This window comes from Homo sapiens, chromosome 12 (assembly GCF_000001405.40).
Source record: "Homo sapiens chromosome 12, GRCh38.p14 Primary Assembly".
Lineage (NCBI taxonomy): Eukaryota > Metazoa > Chordata > Mammalia > Primates > Hominidae > Homo > Homo sapiens.
Genome location: NC_000012.12, coordinates 31125824 through 31143363, shown reverse-complemented (window position 1 = coordinate 31143363; position 17540 = coordinate 31125824). Strand labels below are relative to the sequence as shown.

Here is a 17540-nt window from a genome sequence, read left to right as displayed (position 1 = left end):
TTTGTATTATCTATGTAAGCTTAGTTTTTAGTTTTAAATAATTTTTAAAAGTGCAAGAATTACACAGAGAACTCCCGTAGACCCTTGGCCTGATTCACCAGTTTGTGAACATTTCACCGTACTTGTTTTCTCTTTCTCACTCTCTCCACCCCTACACACACACACATACATACACACACACACACACACACACACAGAGTTTATGCCATTTCAGTTTTTTCTGAATCATTTGAGACTAGGTTACATACATCAGTCTATTGTGAAAGAAAAATACAAACAACTCCGGACCCCAATTCACGATGCTAAAAGGACAAAAAATGAGGCTGAAAACTGAGTCATGGAAGAAGTTGTTTTTCTTTTGTTCCTAAGCAGATAGCTACTTTTTCTTCCTTGTTAGATTAGTTGGTGGTTTACCTATTTTGCCGAGTTTTCCAAAAACATATAATTTTAATTTATTAATGTGATGTAATATGATGTGAGGTTTTTTGCTACTCCATCACATTAATTTCTATTTTTATCTTTATTATTTCCTTACTGGTGCTGTATTTTGTTGTTATTTTTAGCTTTTTCACTTAGAAATTTACTTCATTTTCATTAATTTATTTTATTGGGCTAGGTGTTTTTAAGCCTATAAGTTTTTCCATGATTTCTACTTTTGAAGTATCTCATAGATCCTGATACATAGCAATTGCACCATTTTTATTTTTCAGAAATTCCGTAATTTCTGTTTGTATTAACCCTTTCACTGAAAATTTACTTACTGGAGTACTTTATAATTTTCATATAAAAAGGAATTTATTTTAGAGTTTTCTTTTAAATTTCAAGTTCTATATCTTCATGGCCAGCAATATTTCCACCGGTATATTTTTGTGCCCAAATATATAATGAGTTTTTGCGAATATATCTCATGTGTTGAGAAGATATAGTCTCTATTATCAGTTTGTTTTCTATCCATGAGGTTGGATTATTTTGATTCTTTGTATTCTTACTTATTTTGTAAAATTTATTTAACCTTCTTCTGCTGAGTGATGTGTTAAAATACCCTACAAATAGTGCTCTGTTTCTTCTTGCATCTTCTGTAGTTTCTGCATAGATAATCATAACTGTTGTGCCTTTATTATGAATTGCAGCTTTTAGCAGTAAGTATTCTTCTCTATCTTGTTTGATGTCTTTTGGCCTTACTTCTACGATTTCCGATAACAGGAGGATTGCAGCCTTTGCATTCTTATTATTTTCCTTTACTTTTCCTTTGGATTTCACCTTTTGAAATATGCACTTCACTTGTTTTTTGTATGAAGTACAGCATTATGTTTTGTTTTAAATATGCATATCTTTGTCTTCTAAAGGAGAATAAAGTCTATTCACTCTATTGATATGATGTATGTGTTAGGCCTCAGCTCTATCATACTATTTTTCTTATGATTCTGTATTGTATTTAAAGCTACTTTATTTCTTTAGCTTTTATGTTTGTTTGTTGTTATCTTGCTTAAAGCTTCTTTGAGTATTCAGGCTAGCTTGAATTTTTATTTTAGTGGTTATTTTTATATTTACATATTTTATAATATCCTAATATCCTAATCTCATTTTTTCTTGCTTAACCTTAATATCTAGTCAGTTATGGCCGGGCGCGGTGGCTCACGCCTGTAATCCCAGGACTTTGGGAGGCCAAGGCGGGTGGATCATGAGGTCAGGAGATCGAGACCATCCTCGCTAACACGGTGAAACCGCGTCTCTACTAAAAATATTAAAAAATTAGCTGGGCGTGGTGGCGGGTGCCTGTAGTCCCAGCTACTCAGGAGACTGAGGCAGGAGAATGGCATGAACCTGGGAGGCAGAGCTTGCAGTGAGCCGAGATCGCGCCACTGCACTCCAGCCTGGGCGACAGAGCGAGACTCCATTTAAAAAAAAAAAATCTAGTCAGTTATTTTTAATCTTTGAGTCTTAACTGCTACCTACACAACAGTCAGTAATCTCTAGTTTCCACTTTTCTCTCCCTCTTCTCTCATTTTATTGTTGCATCTTTCCTTTTTTGTCAGAATATATAATGTTTACATTCTGTATTGTTTCTCCTATTCATCAAGTCTTACTAATTTCCTGAGTCATCTTTTGGTTACATAAAGCTCATTCTCCAGGAGGCTGGGGCGGGAAGATTGCTTGAGCCTGGGAGATCGAGGCTGCTGTGAGCCATTATCATACCACTGAGCTTCAGCCTGGGCAAGAGAATGAGACCCTGTCTCAGAAATAAATAAATAACAATTTTTAAAAAGTGCATTCTCTACTAGAGTCCTCAGGACATCACATAAGTATAGAATTCTCTGACATTTTCATATTCAGAATTATTTTTTCTAAAGCCTTAATAAATGAAAGACAGGTATTTGTATATTAAATCTTTGGTTTATACATTTTAAAATTTTTTGAAATGCTACCTTACTATTGACTTGCTTTGAATATGCCTTTTAATAGTGCTGACATTAGTTTAATTCATTTTCCATTATGGGCTACTTTATCTCTATGTCTGAAGGCCTTGAATGTTTTTTTCCCCTTTATACTTTAATCTAACAGTTTCAGTAAGAATGTTATTCTGTAGAAGTTTTGCCAGGTACACAGTGGAGTCATGCAATATGTAAACTCAAATCTTCTTTTATTTTCAGATAGTTCCCCTGAATTATAATTGTAAATATTGGTCTTTCCATTTTTTTTGTTCTAAAAAAATCTCTGTACATTTGTTGGATCTTCCTTGCCTGCTTTCCAATTCAATCACTTTGTGACCTGTTTTAATTCATTCTTTTTCAGTTTTGTTCTGTTGTTTTTCCTCTGTGCTGCTTTTAAAGTTTTCTCTGAACAATTTTCTCTTGATGTCCTTGTACTTTAGAGTTTATTTATGATATAATTTTGTCTAGTTTTCCTGAGTTCAATAAAGCCTCATTTTATTTCTTCTTGGGTTTTGTCCATTTCTGTATTTTCTTAATAGAATTTCTGACTCATGGTGCCTTTTAAATACCTCAAATACATGCTTGAGAATATTTCACTCATGTTAAATTATTTTGGCATGGCTTTTCTTTGTTTACTTATTTATTTACTTAGTGACTTTAGTGGAGAAGTTTCATTAGCTGAAGTGTTTTGGTTTGCATTTCCTATTTTCTCTTACAGAAGCTTTGTATGGAGTTGATTTTTTCTAGTTCTTGATATTTTGTGCAGGGTGTTCATAGGTGAAGAGCGCCCTTTCTATTTTTTTTTTTTTAGTAAAATGCATTATTTTTAAAATGTTGGTGATGGAAATGAGGGTGGAGGGAGTTATTTTATCCTATGACATCCTTTCCTTTTTTAAATTCCCTGTCTCCAAGGATCTGCATACCTCTTCTTGTGATCTGATTATTTCCCCTTAGCCATGTTTTTTGGAAGCTTCCACTTCCAGGCCCATTCAGTCCAAGCCCTTTCCCTGTGTGCTGTACTGGGAACTGTTGAGTCCGAAAACTATGATTTGTATTTTTAACAATGCTAGACTTTCTCTTACCTGGAGTTGACTTGGTGTGTGTTTCTTCTCATTTCTCCATGCCATTCTGCTCTCTTTTTCTCTGCAGTCTCTTAAGCCTTCCCTCTGCAATAGCAGTAGAAGCTCTCTTGGCATTTGGTGTTTGTTTCTCTACTAAGAAATAATTTGAAGATCATGGTATTCTCTGTATTGTAGTAATGTTAAAGATATTAGTCATGAGTATCCTTACTTGTTCTCTTTGTTGATTTTATGTTTTCTTCAGAAGATTATGTAAGAAGATTTAAAATCAGGCAGCTAAGATTATTCTCCAGACTTAGAAATTCTAGCATTATAATTGACTGTGTGTACAATGGGCCTTGGATTAATCAATAGTCAGGCATTGCTTTCTTACATTCTCTCTTAAATCCTGCGCCCAAGCTGAGAAATTCTGTGAACATGACATCAGTTGCCTAAAACAAAACTGGTTTGCTCTTTTGAAAGGAAGAGCTTATGTGAAAATACTGGATTAAATATGATGGCCGTGCTCTTAAAGAAAAGAACAAGAATAAATGGTACAGTAGACAATTTGCCAATTTTGTAATTTTAAAAGAAGTGCTTAAAATTATTGGGAAATGTTTTTTCTCATAGGTGTATAACATGGTTCCAAGTATAGAGCCGTATGGTTATTTCTACCATGGCCTCAATCTTGATGATGGCAAGGAAGACCCTTGCATTCCTCAGAGGGATATGTTCTACAATGGTTTATATTACACACCTGTAAGCAACTATGGGGATGGAGATATCTATAATATTGTCAGGGTAAGATCACTAAGGATTTTGGAAAATATTTCATCACAATTTTTAGTATTCATAATGCATATTAATGTTTTCTTAATTATGTAGTTTTCTTCCTATACTTTGAGATTCGTGTCTGTAATCTGCCAATAGAGTACATAGAAATTGTCTTATAAAAAGGAGATATTAATTTTGTTGATTTTAAAATTTTCTGCTGAAAATAAATCATGTAGCTATAATTACAAAACCTCACTTAAAAAAATAAGACAGCCTCCAATTAATACAATAAATCTTATGCAAAGATTGTCAAATCAAGAGGCTAAGAGAGTGTGGACTCCAGATATCCCTAGGCCATTAATGAGACATGCTGAGCCTTCCATGAAATAATCTCTATAATTAACATCACAAGTGTGTAAGAAAAGGGGTATTGAATCAGACAGACTTTATCAGGTTCCAGTTCTTTAATTTACTGAGTGTGCCGGGTGTGTGTGTGTGTGTGTGTGTGTGTTTGATGTTAATTAGGGTAATGATAGTGCTGATCTCATAAGTATTTTCCACTTAGGATGAAATGGAGAATAATGGAAAATACTTAGAAAAATGCTAGCACATAATAAGTGCTAGATAAATCATAGTGATTATAATTTTTTCTCTAAATTAGGGATTTTCCATAAGTCAAATAGAGGTAAGTTGACTTGTAACTTCTCAGACCTTTGTTAACACAGAAAATATGGATACTTATGATCCATTTATCTTTGCAATATAAATAATAGGCCTTTTATAGTTCTTGCATGAAAAGAATGAACAATATTTTTGTTGTTTGTTTCTTTAAAGAACATGGGTCTCAAAGTCTTTACCAATCTCCATTACCGAAAACCAGAAGTATGTGTGATGGAGAGAAGGCTGCCACTCCCTAAGCCGCTTTATCTAGAAACAGAAAATTATGGTCCAATGCATAGTGTTCCGTCTAGAATTGCATGTAGGTAATCTTACATTTTTTTGTTGGGGGATGACCAAACCGCTTTGTGGAATTTAGTGTATTTGGGATAAATGATGCAATTTTGGAATTTTATGTGTGAATTATGCCATGTTTTTGGCTACAATTAGACATCCTATAGTTGGATAAAGCAGAATAAGACAGACTAGACATGCTTTTGGCTATAACAAGAAATTAGCTTCAGATGTGAGATGTAGTTTATTTTTATTGATAAAATACAATGTCAGAAATACAGTCATGCTTCACTTAGTGATGGAGAATTTGTTCTGAAAAATGCATTGTTAGGTGATATTGTTGTGCGAACATCATAGAGTGTACTTACGCAAACCTAGATGCTGTAGCCTGCAACACACCTATGCTATGTGGTACAGCCCATTTTTCCTAGGCTACAAACCTCCGCAGCATGTGACTATACTGAATACTGTAGGCAGTTGTACCACGATGATAACTATTTGTGTATCTAATCATTGCTAAACATGGAAAAGGCACAGTGAACATGTGGTATACAAGATAAAAAAAAGTTATACTTTTATATAGAGCACTTCCCATGAATGGAGCTTGCAAGGTTAAAAGTTACTCTGAGTGAGTCAGGGTACAAATATATTTTCTTTGTTTACATTCTTATTCTATAAGCTTTTTCCTATTTTTAAATTTTCTTTAACTTTTATACTTTTTTGTTTAAAACGAAGATGCAAACACACACATTAATCTAGGCCTATACAAGGTCAGGATCATCAATATCACTGTCTTCTACCTCCACATCTTGTACCGCTGAAAGTTCTTCTGGGGCAATAACATGCATGGAGCTGTCATCATCTATGATAGCAATGCCTTCTTCTGGAACATCTCCTGAAGGACCTGCCTGAAGCTGTTTTGCAGTTAATTTTTTTGATAAGTAAGAACAGTACACTCTAAACAGTAAACAGTATAGTATAGTAAGCACAAAAACCGGTAACATAGTCATCATTATCAAGTATTATGTACTGTACAAAATTGTGTCTGCTATATTTTTATAGGACTGGCAGTGCAGTAGGTTTGTTTACACCAGCATTACCACAAACCCATGACCAATGCATTGCACTACAACGTTATGATGGCTTTGATGTCAATAAGTGGTAGGAATTTTTCAGCTCCATTCTAACTTTATGGGACCACTGTAGTCTAAGTGGTCTGTCATTGATCACAGTGTCATTATGTGGTACCTGACTGTGTAGGGGAACAGGCAATGTATGGTGATACAGGAAAACAGTCATAGTAAGTGACTGTGATACAGGAAAGTGAGGTGTTTTATGGAGACCTTACACCCTGATAATATATAGACTATAATTTGCAGAGTCCAAGGTCTGAATAAGGTACTTCTTCCTTTTTTTTTTTAGCTAGTGGAATCAGAGGGGAGAATGCTGACTATGTAGAACAGGCTATAATTCAAACAGTAAGAACAAACTTCCCAGAGACATGGATGTGGGACCTCGTCAGTGTCGAGTGAGTTTTAACCATTTTCTCTCCTATGTGTCTTTATTTCTATTTTCTTTTTCTTTCTTCAGGTTTATTCCTGGGTATATAAAACAGTACCATATTTGTAAAATATATATCATTGATTTGCATGTACTTATCATACATTTTATTTTATTTTTTTCTCTAGCATTGTTTTCCCTTCACCAAGAGTTTCTCTTCTATTCATTTTATGCAGACAGATTTAACCTGCCCCAATTAAAAAAAAAAGTGGCGTTTAAAGAAAAATGACCTTTCTATACTCAAATTTTATAAAAATCCAGCTCTCATTATTTTTATCTAATGCCCCATCCAAACAATATAACTCACTTTTGAGCTTCAGTCAATACTTTTCTGCTTGCTCTGCACTTAATTTTAAGTTCTTGGTTCAGACAAAGAATGTGTTTTACCGATAACCTCTTCTTCCAGTTCCTCAGGCTCTGCCAATCTTTCGTTCCTCATTCCTGATACGATAACCCAATGGGAGGCAAGTGGCTTTTGTGTGAATGGCGACGTTGGATTTGGCATTTCCTCTACAACCACTCTAGAAGTCTCCCAACCTTTCTTTATTGAAATTGCCTCACCCTTTTCGGTTGTTCAAAATGAACAATTTGATTTGATTGTCAATGCCTTCAGCTACCTGAATACATGTGTAGAGGTGCGTTGTTCTGTTTGATCTGGAGGCAAAAATCTAACAAAGCTAAAATATTCTTAATATTTCCATATTCTCTTTATCCTCAAGTGCAAAATGCTACTATAAAGGTATAAGACTTAGGTCCATATTCCTCAAACAAATACAATTGCTTTCATTCACAGTGACAGTTTAAACAGTGTATTGAGCATGGTGTTTCATAGTGATGTGTGTTCCAGTGCTATCCTCATTGCCATGATTGTTTTCTTAGATTTCTGTTCAAGTGGAGGAGTCTCAGAATTATGAAGCAAATATTAATACCTGGAAAATCAATGGCAGTGAGGTTATTCAAGCTGGAGGGAGGAAAACAAACATCTGGACTATTATACCTAAGAAATTGGGTAAGCAGCTATCTGTCTACACCAGTCACTCATGGAAAAACCAGCCCATATTTATTGTCTCCATTTACTTTCCTTATATTGTCTATACAAACGTGATTTTCTCCCTCACATTTTTAAAATTCTTATTGTAAATTCTCCATTAGAAATTCTAATCTATAGTAATCTAATTTCTGGTTGTTAATGCTGTGTAGATCAAAACCACCATTCATTTTTACAAGAGCATAATGTAATTAAAATACAATATAAATGCTAACTGGCATGACCTATCATGGACTATATGTTTGGCATATGCCATATCCCAAATGAAGGCCATGCTATCATTAATGCCACCTTAATTATTTGACTTCTCGCTGGGTCCTTCACCTACCATCATGAACCCAGGCCACCTTCAAGAAAATTGCTGCTCCATCACAATGACCAATGAGGGAATTGTCAGGTTTGTAAATTTACTAGATGTGCCATGGGGATACCAAAATCACTAAATGATTGGATTGAGATAAAAAACTGAGAATATTGTCTTAGTGCCTATGCTATCTGCAAGATGGAAAAATAAACTTGTCTCCTATTGAAATATTGAAAATACATGGAATGGAAAAAGTTTAAAATTCTAGTAAACAAGGAATGCTAGATACGATGTGCGTGACACTTTTAATCACTACTTTTAAAAAATGGCCATTCAAATGTTCTTTAATGTACTATATTCATTGTATTATTTTAACAGCAAATAATATATCTATGAGATTATTTTAGCTCAGTTGTGATGCTGTTCTCAGACTATTTTTCTATTAGATTTGAAGTTTCTCAATATTTCTACTGCACAAGATCTTCAAAATCCTACCTTGGCAATTGAGACAGAATACTGTACCAACTTGTATAGTTTTATGACATTAAGTCGAAGACACAGTTTTAAGAGTGAAATAGCAAGCTTCCTGAGACAGAGAAACACTAAAACACAACAACAACAACAACAACAACAAAGAGAACAATATATTGGTTATGTATATTGGTATATAGTCACGTAAATAATAATAACCTTAAAGAATGAATGATTGTTTTCAATCCTGTAATTTTCACAAGCAAGGAAACTGGAGATCAGTTCTAATTACATAATGTGAAATCAGGAAGTTTAAAAACAATGGATTCCTTGCTAGGACATTATTTCAATCCAGTGCCTATCTACTATATCATATTTTACTATGCTTGCTTGATTTTGGGAAGTTAGGAGCCCTAGTTCGCTGACATTATTAGCCTATATTGTCATAAGTAACCTTTATAAACAATCAATATCAGGAAATTGACTCAGACAACTTTGTAAAATGTTACTTTTCCTAAAATTTCTTAAGTTTTAATTAAGTAAATTTATCATTTAATGTAAGGAATCATGAAAATCATGGAACAGGTGAAATGGAAGATACCACATTATACCTAGGAAGGAGAAGAAATAAGTTATTTTGTTCTAAGCATTAACTTAATGATAGAATTTGGTTAATCCAATTCAAGACATGGTTCACAGACTCTAGTCATTTCTCATTACAGAAGGGACCAATGATCAATTTAATTTATATTTGGGAATGTCTTCCAGGTAAAGTGAATATCACTGTAGTTGCTGAGTCCAAACAAAGCAGTGCTTGCCCAAATGAAGGAATGGAGCAGCAAAAGCTAAACTGGAAAGACACTGTGGTCAAAAGCTTCTTAGTAGAGGTATGGATATGCAAACAGTCAAGCTTTTCCTGAAAAGAAACAGACATCTAAGAGGTTTTGTATTAAAAGATCTTCTCATTGAAGAGACTTAATTAGTTGACAACATTTACTTTTGACACAAGACATGCCATTTTAAATGAATTAAAACAGCATAAAGTTCATCCTTTCTTTAATTAATACCTCACCCAGGATAGTAAAACTTAACATTTGAAATAGACTTGACAATTTTTTGTTTGTTTCTGAGTCAAGATGTTTCCTGTACACCTATTTCTCTTCCTTCTCTTTTTCTGATTCTCAAATTCAAGAGACAAATCTACTTGTCCTACACTCCCATGCAGTTCCCGTCATCCTCAACAAGAATCAGCACTTGTCAGAGGAACACTCTTGATTTGCCTCTTGGCAATCCCTGCTCCACAAAGCACTTTTAGTTGTTTACTGGAGATGCTATACAGGATCAGAGGAGCTGAGAGTGTCCCACAGTGACATCAAGATAATGCCTGTCCAAGCTACAGAACGCAGAGGCTAAAATGGGTACCGGTGATGTCCCGTGCCTTCCAGATATGAACAAAAGGGGAAGATGAGTTGGATCTTCTCTCAGGGATAAACTTGCACCAGCCATGCTTAAGTGAGCTGGTGCTTAATCACTTTTCCTTCATGGACAGAGGATCTAGACTCATTCTTCTGTGCTTGTTTGTGTTATTCTTTGACAGCCTGAAGGTATTGAAAAGGAAAGGACCCAGAGTTTCCTTATCTGTACAGAAGGTAAGAGGATCTTTTAGGGAGTCAAATTAGTCCTAAATAAAATTCACCAAAAGAATCAGTTCATGTCCTCTCCTTCCACATGAGTCCATGTGCCCTGTGATTTCACTTTAAATAACTCGTGGAGGATTCTTGTGTTTCATGCTTTATCTTTATGGTATAATTTTAGCCATCAAAAAGAATATTCAGGAGGTGGTTTTTAGTTCACTTTCTGAGGCTGGTCTGCTCCTATCTATTTTTTTTTCCATCATGTGTACTCTTAGCTCCTCTTATGATATGGTTGTCACACAATATTGGACAATGAGATATTAGGATTGAGGCCCAATAGCACATAATATAATCTTGGCTTTTGTACTCTTAGGAGAAAATAACCCATAGATACATCACTGCCCCTGCACCTCAGTCTCCGGTTTTATGGCCATGAGGGGTATTATTTTACCTGGTTGATGGTGATCTGATTATACTCCTTCATCTGAGTCTTCAAGCTTTACCTTTTGTGTGTGTTGTTTTATGTGTTACAGTCAGTGTAGTTTTTACATTTTTTCATACATAAATAGTTCAGGCACTAAACCAGTGAAGAACGGGGGCCACAATCTAACACACAGATTTATATGCCATTTTCTGAATGTACTATTATCCTAAACTGGGTCAAAACTCCAAATTCATCTCCTCTAATAAACAACTTGTAAAATAAAAATAAGTAATGGAATCTTATTTCCAATATGTTTATCCCCCAAATCTGCTGATATAAAGAAGCCATCACATTTTTTAAATCAGTATTTTCATTCTAGGTGCCAAAGCCTCCAAGCAGGGAGTTTTGGACTTGCCAAATGATGTAGTAGAAGGGTCAGCCAGAGGCTTTTTCACTGTTGTGGGTAAGTTGATCAAATTTTGTGTTTCACTATGATTTGAAAATCTTGGTTGAGGTGGTCTTTAAAAATCCTTAAAATAATAGAATAGAGAGATTTTCCTAAGCTATCAATTGGAGGGAATTATTGATCAGATCATCCTCTATGTTTCCTGATGGGATCTAAAGGGATTACAGTACCGTTTCCAGACCTATATTCCCAGGAAACCTTAGCTTGGGTAGATGGTAACTAGTGTTCAGAAAGCAAGAGGTTCTTTATAATCATTAATCTGAAATATGAAATTCACCTCTTGGAGAATCGAATTGACTTTGCCTGTTAATGATGTTGGGAGTTTTCTCAATAAAAGGAGAAATTTTTGTTGTTGATACAAAAGGCAAACTTCTTTGTCTGTTATTAACATGAACATCTCTTGGAAGGGATGGATTACACTTTGTAATTCATAGGATTGATTGATTAAAAAAAACTAGCAAACAAGCAAACAAATGCATTCTCCTAACTTCCTCCTCTCTCTGGTAATGAGATTTTCAGAAATATTTTTCATAGCAGTTTAACTTCACCCTTCATGGCTGTCTCCTCTTTCAAATTGCTTCATAAAACTTTCTTTGTTTCCACCATTTAGACTCAATTTTAAATGTTACCTATTTCACTATGCCTCTTTTGTCTATAGTTATTAATGCTGAGATGGCAACTATAAACAATACAGCTTTCCGCTTTTCCTGTTTTTAGGGGATATTCTAGGACTTGCCATGCAGAATCTGGTTGTTCTCCAAATGCCCTATGGAGGTGGAGAGCAGAATGCTGCCCTACTAGCATCTGATACTTATGTTCTGGACTATCTGAAATCTACTGAGCAACTGACAGAGGAAGTTCAATCTAAGGCTTTCTTTCTCTTATCTAATGGTGAGAAGATTTAAGTAATTTCTGCCCATAATTTTTGAAAGCAATTGTTACTCATACCAAGATGTCATAAGCTGTTTTTATGCAGTAGTCTGGTGAAAGAAAAGTGAACCTGAACCGAGGAACTCTCAGTCCTAGCGCTGTTTTCCGTCTGACTTCAAAATCTGTGTGGTCAGCTAGCGTCATAATTTACAGCTGCAAAGTTTTCAAGCTATGCACTTAATTTTTTTTTAATGTCTGGTATTTTGCAAGCTACCTTGTTTATTGTTGTTATTATTGTTGTTTTTGTTAGGAGTTGTTGTCAGTGGTTCATCTATCAACGTCTGTATTTGTTTGCTCAGCTGTGGTCTGTTGCAGTGAAGTGATTGGCTTTGTATACACAAAGAGGGCCAATGTTGTGAACTGTGAGGTTAAGGAAAAGTCCAGGAGCATAAAATAATCTTCTTTGGTTTTTCTTCTCAGAAAGATAACACTGAAATAAAATGACCTTAGGGGAAATATACTGAATAGTTAGTAGGTACCAATGACGAGGCAATTACTGAGCCAGACATATCCATGTGTATTATCTTGTGATCAAAATCCTATAAAGTAAGAGTTATTTTTTCTCCCTTATGAATACAGAACCTGAGTTTCAGAAGTTCAAATGGAAATGATCATCCTAGTGATTTGTGTCTAACACCAATACCTAGGGCTTGCACTGCACTATTCTTTCTCTTCTAACTTTCTTAGGTTAAAAAATAATTTCCTACAATGTTCTATTTTAGGTTATCAAAGGCAATTATCTTTCAAAAACTCTGATGGTTCCTATAGTGTGTTTTGGCAGCAGAATCAGAAAGGAAGCATATGGTGAGACATAAAAATTTTATTTTATATAATATAGGAATTACCTGAGGAGGGCTTGCAAGGAGGTGAAGGAGGATAGAGTTCAGTGGGGATTTAGAAGCAAAGTGGGTTTCAAAGTCAATTTACAGAAGAGAAATAGATAAAACTAAAGATTTAGTGATTCCAATTCTAATGCAACAATGTTCCTTCAGTCTCATGACGATTTGCTTAGCAGTCTGATCCTTTCATGACAGCCCCTAGACATGCACCGCTGGTTAACTCCACCGAAGAGGGCACGGCACGTCTTACTCTGTGCTTCTCAGAGTCCCATATAGATTCGGGAAAGTGAAATTAGAAGGACCCAAAATACCTAATTACATCATTTCTCTCTCCATGTGCAGATAATCTAATGGGCTATATACAACAGGACCTTTGGGTGCAAACATGCTGAAAATTACCTACTCTAATTTCCACTTATTGCTAGTCATAATATTTTCCTGACCCAAAGGAAAGGGCCACTAACAATAAAGATGGTTTACAGTAGATGAGTTGAATGCATCCTTTACTCAAAGGGAACAATGGTGATGAAACTGTGGAATTGCTGACATTGTCACTTCCTCTTTATCTAACTTTTGCTTTGGTGATTTGTATTACAGGCTCAGTGCTCTTACTTTTAAGACATTGGAGAGAATGAAAAAATTTGTATTCATTGATGAAAATGTTCAAAAACAGACCTTAATCTGGCTTTCAAGCCAACAGAAAACAAGCGGCTGCTTTAAGAATGATGGCCAGCTTTTCAACCACGCCTGGGAGGTGAGAGAGGAGAAGCACCAGGCTTTCCTTGTTCCTGGGCATTGCCTGCCTTGCCCTGCCTCTGGCTTTCCTGATCTGGAATATGAATATTCTTCCTGTGCCTATGAAACCTTCTGAGGCACTGCAGTCCTGGGCCTGTGGTGGGTTGGTCAGCAGCACCATTCCTGCTTTGTGCATGTTTAACTACAGCCTGGATGTGACTCCTTCTGAGTCTCTTGTCTGCCTTATTCAGTCTCTAGTCCTTCCCGAGTCAGTCCTCTTCAGAAATTAAACTAGAAATAGAAGGGAGGGGAGAGAAAGGGAACCTAGAAAAGAAACTTTCATAAATTTGGAGACAGTCAATGTATAAAGGGAGGGGGCTGTGAGTGTATGAGGAAGGAAAGTTTATTCCTGTCCATGAATGGCAAGAAAGTTCTGGGGAGAATATCTAGTAATTCATATTGTTTCAATGAAGCAAGTTTTTCTAAGACCCTCTCAAGGAAAAATTCAAAGGCCAAGCTTGCCCCGGGGCCAAAGTACAAATGAGGTGAAGTATATCCTTGGCAAAATCCAACCCTTTTCCTGTCCATATTTACGTAAATCCCTCCCTTCCAACTTCCTTTCTTTGCAGATACCTGTCCATCTCCAGCCCATCTTCTATCTCCTTTCCCCTCCTTTTTTCCCCTGTGGTTGCTCAAAATCTCCTATCATGGCATTTTAGCATGCTCTGATGGCCCCTGAAATACCCTGAGCTTTTCTTCAGCATCCTTCCTCATAATCAGCACTCCTGTTCTTGAAACCCAGAATGCATATCTAATCCACCTCAAAATATGAATGAAAACAGACACTCTGATATTTAATTTGCATGCAAATTGTATTCAAATTGCTTTGTGGTATTTTTAATGTATTCCAAACTTATTCCTTACAACAGGAGGACCCTGATGGAGAAGAGCTCTTACTCCTTCATAGAAAAATCAAAAACTTTCCCACGTTCTCTTCTAAAACATCTTCACATCTTTCTTCTTATTGGATTCATTACTGGTGAATCATTGCTGATTACTGCTACAGTTTGTCTGATCTTACCTAGTATTTTCTCTATAATTAAATATCTGTGTGGGTGGGTGTCTGTGTGTGTTTTGAGTTGAGAGAAATAAAAATGCAAGGGAAAAATCAAAGCTTACACTGCTGAGGAATGGTGATCCCACTTGCTGTAATTTAGATGTACTGACAGTCCTCGTACCTCATGTTAGTGTCTACCATATGCTGTTATTTCCATCTTAAACACTTGGTTTCTCAGAAGTATTTCTTTTCTGAAGAAGACAGGAGTTGTCCTTTGCTTAAATAGATAAAATGGGAAGCTTCTACAAGATCAGTAGATCCCAGATGCCATTCTGAATGCTATTTGCATCAGAGTCACTAGAGCACCCATTAAAATGCATTTTGCTGTCGTATTCCCAAGTTTTTTGAACCAGAATCTCTGTGTAGACACTGGTTGATTTAAATACCCCAGGGGAGTTTTATGCACAGTCAGTTTGCAAACCACATGATTTATAAATGAGTTTCTCATTTTACACTCTAAGAATCTGAGACTTGATTCTGGTGATCTCCTAGGGTGCTTTTCCAGGAATTTCCAGGAATCTTCACGGCAACTTTCTGCTTCACCTCATTAGAAATTCTTTGTTGGCTTTTTTCAGATTTATACCAAGCGGAGACAAATAGAGTCCTGTGAATTCCTTAGAATGCATGCTTAACACCAGGCCACATAAATATGATTGAAATTAATTGTTATAACAACTTAATAATTATGATTTAATTATTGCATAGAGTCTGAATGAATTCTTGCTTAGATAGTATGGTTATTAACCATCTAATTTAAAAACTACACATGTTCGGGTGTTTTTATGAATAATGGTATTTGTTCCAGTATTTTTTTCATACCTAGTTTTACTTCAAAAGAATACTTGCTATTTTGTGCTCTGCTGTCCCGAATGACTCATTGTTCCTTTGTTTTCAGGGTGGAGATGAAGAGGACATTTCACTCACTGCATATGTTGTTGGGATGTTCTTTGAAGCTGGGCTCAATTCCACTGTATGGATTCCCGTCATTTCTGATTTCAGGCAGCTGAATGCACATTCAATAGACTGTAGAGTCAGAGTCACTTGAGATTCTAAGACTGGATGAAACCCCGAGATAACATTTAGTTTATTACCACCCTTTAAATTCATGCTGTTCAAACTGTTTTTCATTCATAGACAGCTTTGAAAAACAGGATTGGGTTTCTCCCTAGGGAGAATACACATATGCACACAAAAAAGAGTTATTCACACAATTGCAGGCATTCACATCTCTCCTGAAGTTCAGCCATGAATTTCAGATTAAGAACCACTGTTCTAAGTAAAGCCGTGGCCTAGTATTCTGTTTCTCTCTAAACAATAAGTGAGTAAACATTTTCAACTTAAGTGTGGCTCACCCTAGCCACCTCCCAATCCATAGATTAGATTTCCAAAATCTATTCCTGAACTAAGATGCTAGGAATTGTCAGGGTCATTAGTATACCCTGAAAATTATCTTCAGAAATGTAAGCCTCTATTTTAGGCATTAGAAAAAAAAAACTCTTAGGCCTATGATAAATTTGGATGCTTTGCCGCATAGAAGACATTCATAACTAAAATATCACTGATCAAATATAAAAACTGCCATTTTCTTACTAAATTTCATTGGGCCGGGCATGGTGGTTCATGCTTATAATCCAAGCACTTTGGGAGGCTGAGGTGGGTGGATTACCTGAGGTCAGGAGTTCAAGACCAGCCTGGCCAACATGGTGAAACCCTATCTCTACTAAAAATACAAAAATTAGCTGGGCTTGGTGGTGCATGCCTGTGATCCCAGCTACTCGGAAGATGGAGGCAGGAGAATCGCTTGAACCTGGGAGGTGGAGGTTGCAGTGAGCTGAGATCATGCCACTGCACTCCAGCCTGGGTAACAGAGCGAGACCCTATCTCAAAAAAAATTATTGCTTAGGTACTAATAATGACATTATAAATTTATTTTAATGATATTTTTGAAGGATAAAATATATGTGTGTATATAAATGGATTTGTATGTAAAATATACTTTGAGGATATATTATATATATTATAAACAATGATTAGTTTAAATGTTCAACAAGTTCATGGAATGTTCGGGTATCAGTTTACAATATATGATTCTTCTTCCTGACCAACAGTTTCCTGCTCTACGAAACGCACTCTTTTGCCTTGAAGCGGCATTGGACAGTGGTGTCACTAATGGCTACAATCATGCAATTCTAGCTTATGCTTTTGCCTTAGCTGGAAAAGAGAAGCAAGTGGAATCTTTACTCCAAACCCTGGATCAATCTGCCACAAAACTAAGTAAGCGTTATTATTCATTGTTGCTAATGGAGGTGATCTTGGAGCACAGTGAGGAAGCGTTCTAAGCAGTCACATAGGAGCTCCCTCTTGACCAGTATGTTTCTGTTTCTCTTATGGAATTTATCAGTGGCCTTTATACCTTTCAAGAACGCTACATATTCTAGACTTTCCTCTTTTGCTTTATGCTAGCTTCCTCTCAAATGAGTGATGTCAGGGGAATCAAGCCTGGTGACCAAGCCATAGGCTATCAAAACTGCTGGGGAAGCTTAATCACCTGCTACTTAGAAAGTTGCTATTGAAGGCTGTAGTAGTTTGCTATAGCTGTCATAAAATACCACATACTGGATGACTGCAGCAATAGAAGTTTATTTTCTCATGCTTCTGGAGGCTAGAAGTCTAAGTTCAAGGTGTTGAAAGTGGTTTCTTCACCTGCAGATGACCACATTCTTCCTTTGTCTTCACAAGATCTTTTGTGTGTGCACAGCCCTGCTCTCCCTTTTGTGTGTCCAAAATTTTTCTTCTC

General features: G+C 36.0%; 1 pseudogene across 1 annotated transcript in view; it reads left to right on the top strand.

Moving 5' to 3' along the window:
- Positions 1-17540, top strand: part of OVOS2P (ovostatin 2, pseudogene) — an 89584-nt pseudogene that overhangs the window by 57872 nt on the left and 14172 nt on the right. The window contains exons 23-35 of the transcript NR_153414.1: positions 4121-4291; positions 5099-5243; positions 6638-6743; positions 7182-7410; positions 7655-7784; positions 9367-9485; positions 10196-10247; positions 11036-11119; positions 11840-12013; positions 12775-12856; positions 13489-13645; positions 15639-15713; positions 16852-17017. The product of NR_153414.1 is annotated as an ovostatin 2, pseudogene (transcript). The remainder of the gene's footprint in view (positions 1-4120; positions 4292-5098; positions 5244-6637; positions 6744-7181; positions 7411-7654; positions 7785-9366; positions 9486-10195; positions 10248-11035; positions 11120-11839; positions 12014-12774; positions 12857-13488; positions 13646-15638; positions 15714-16851; positions 17018-17540) is intronic.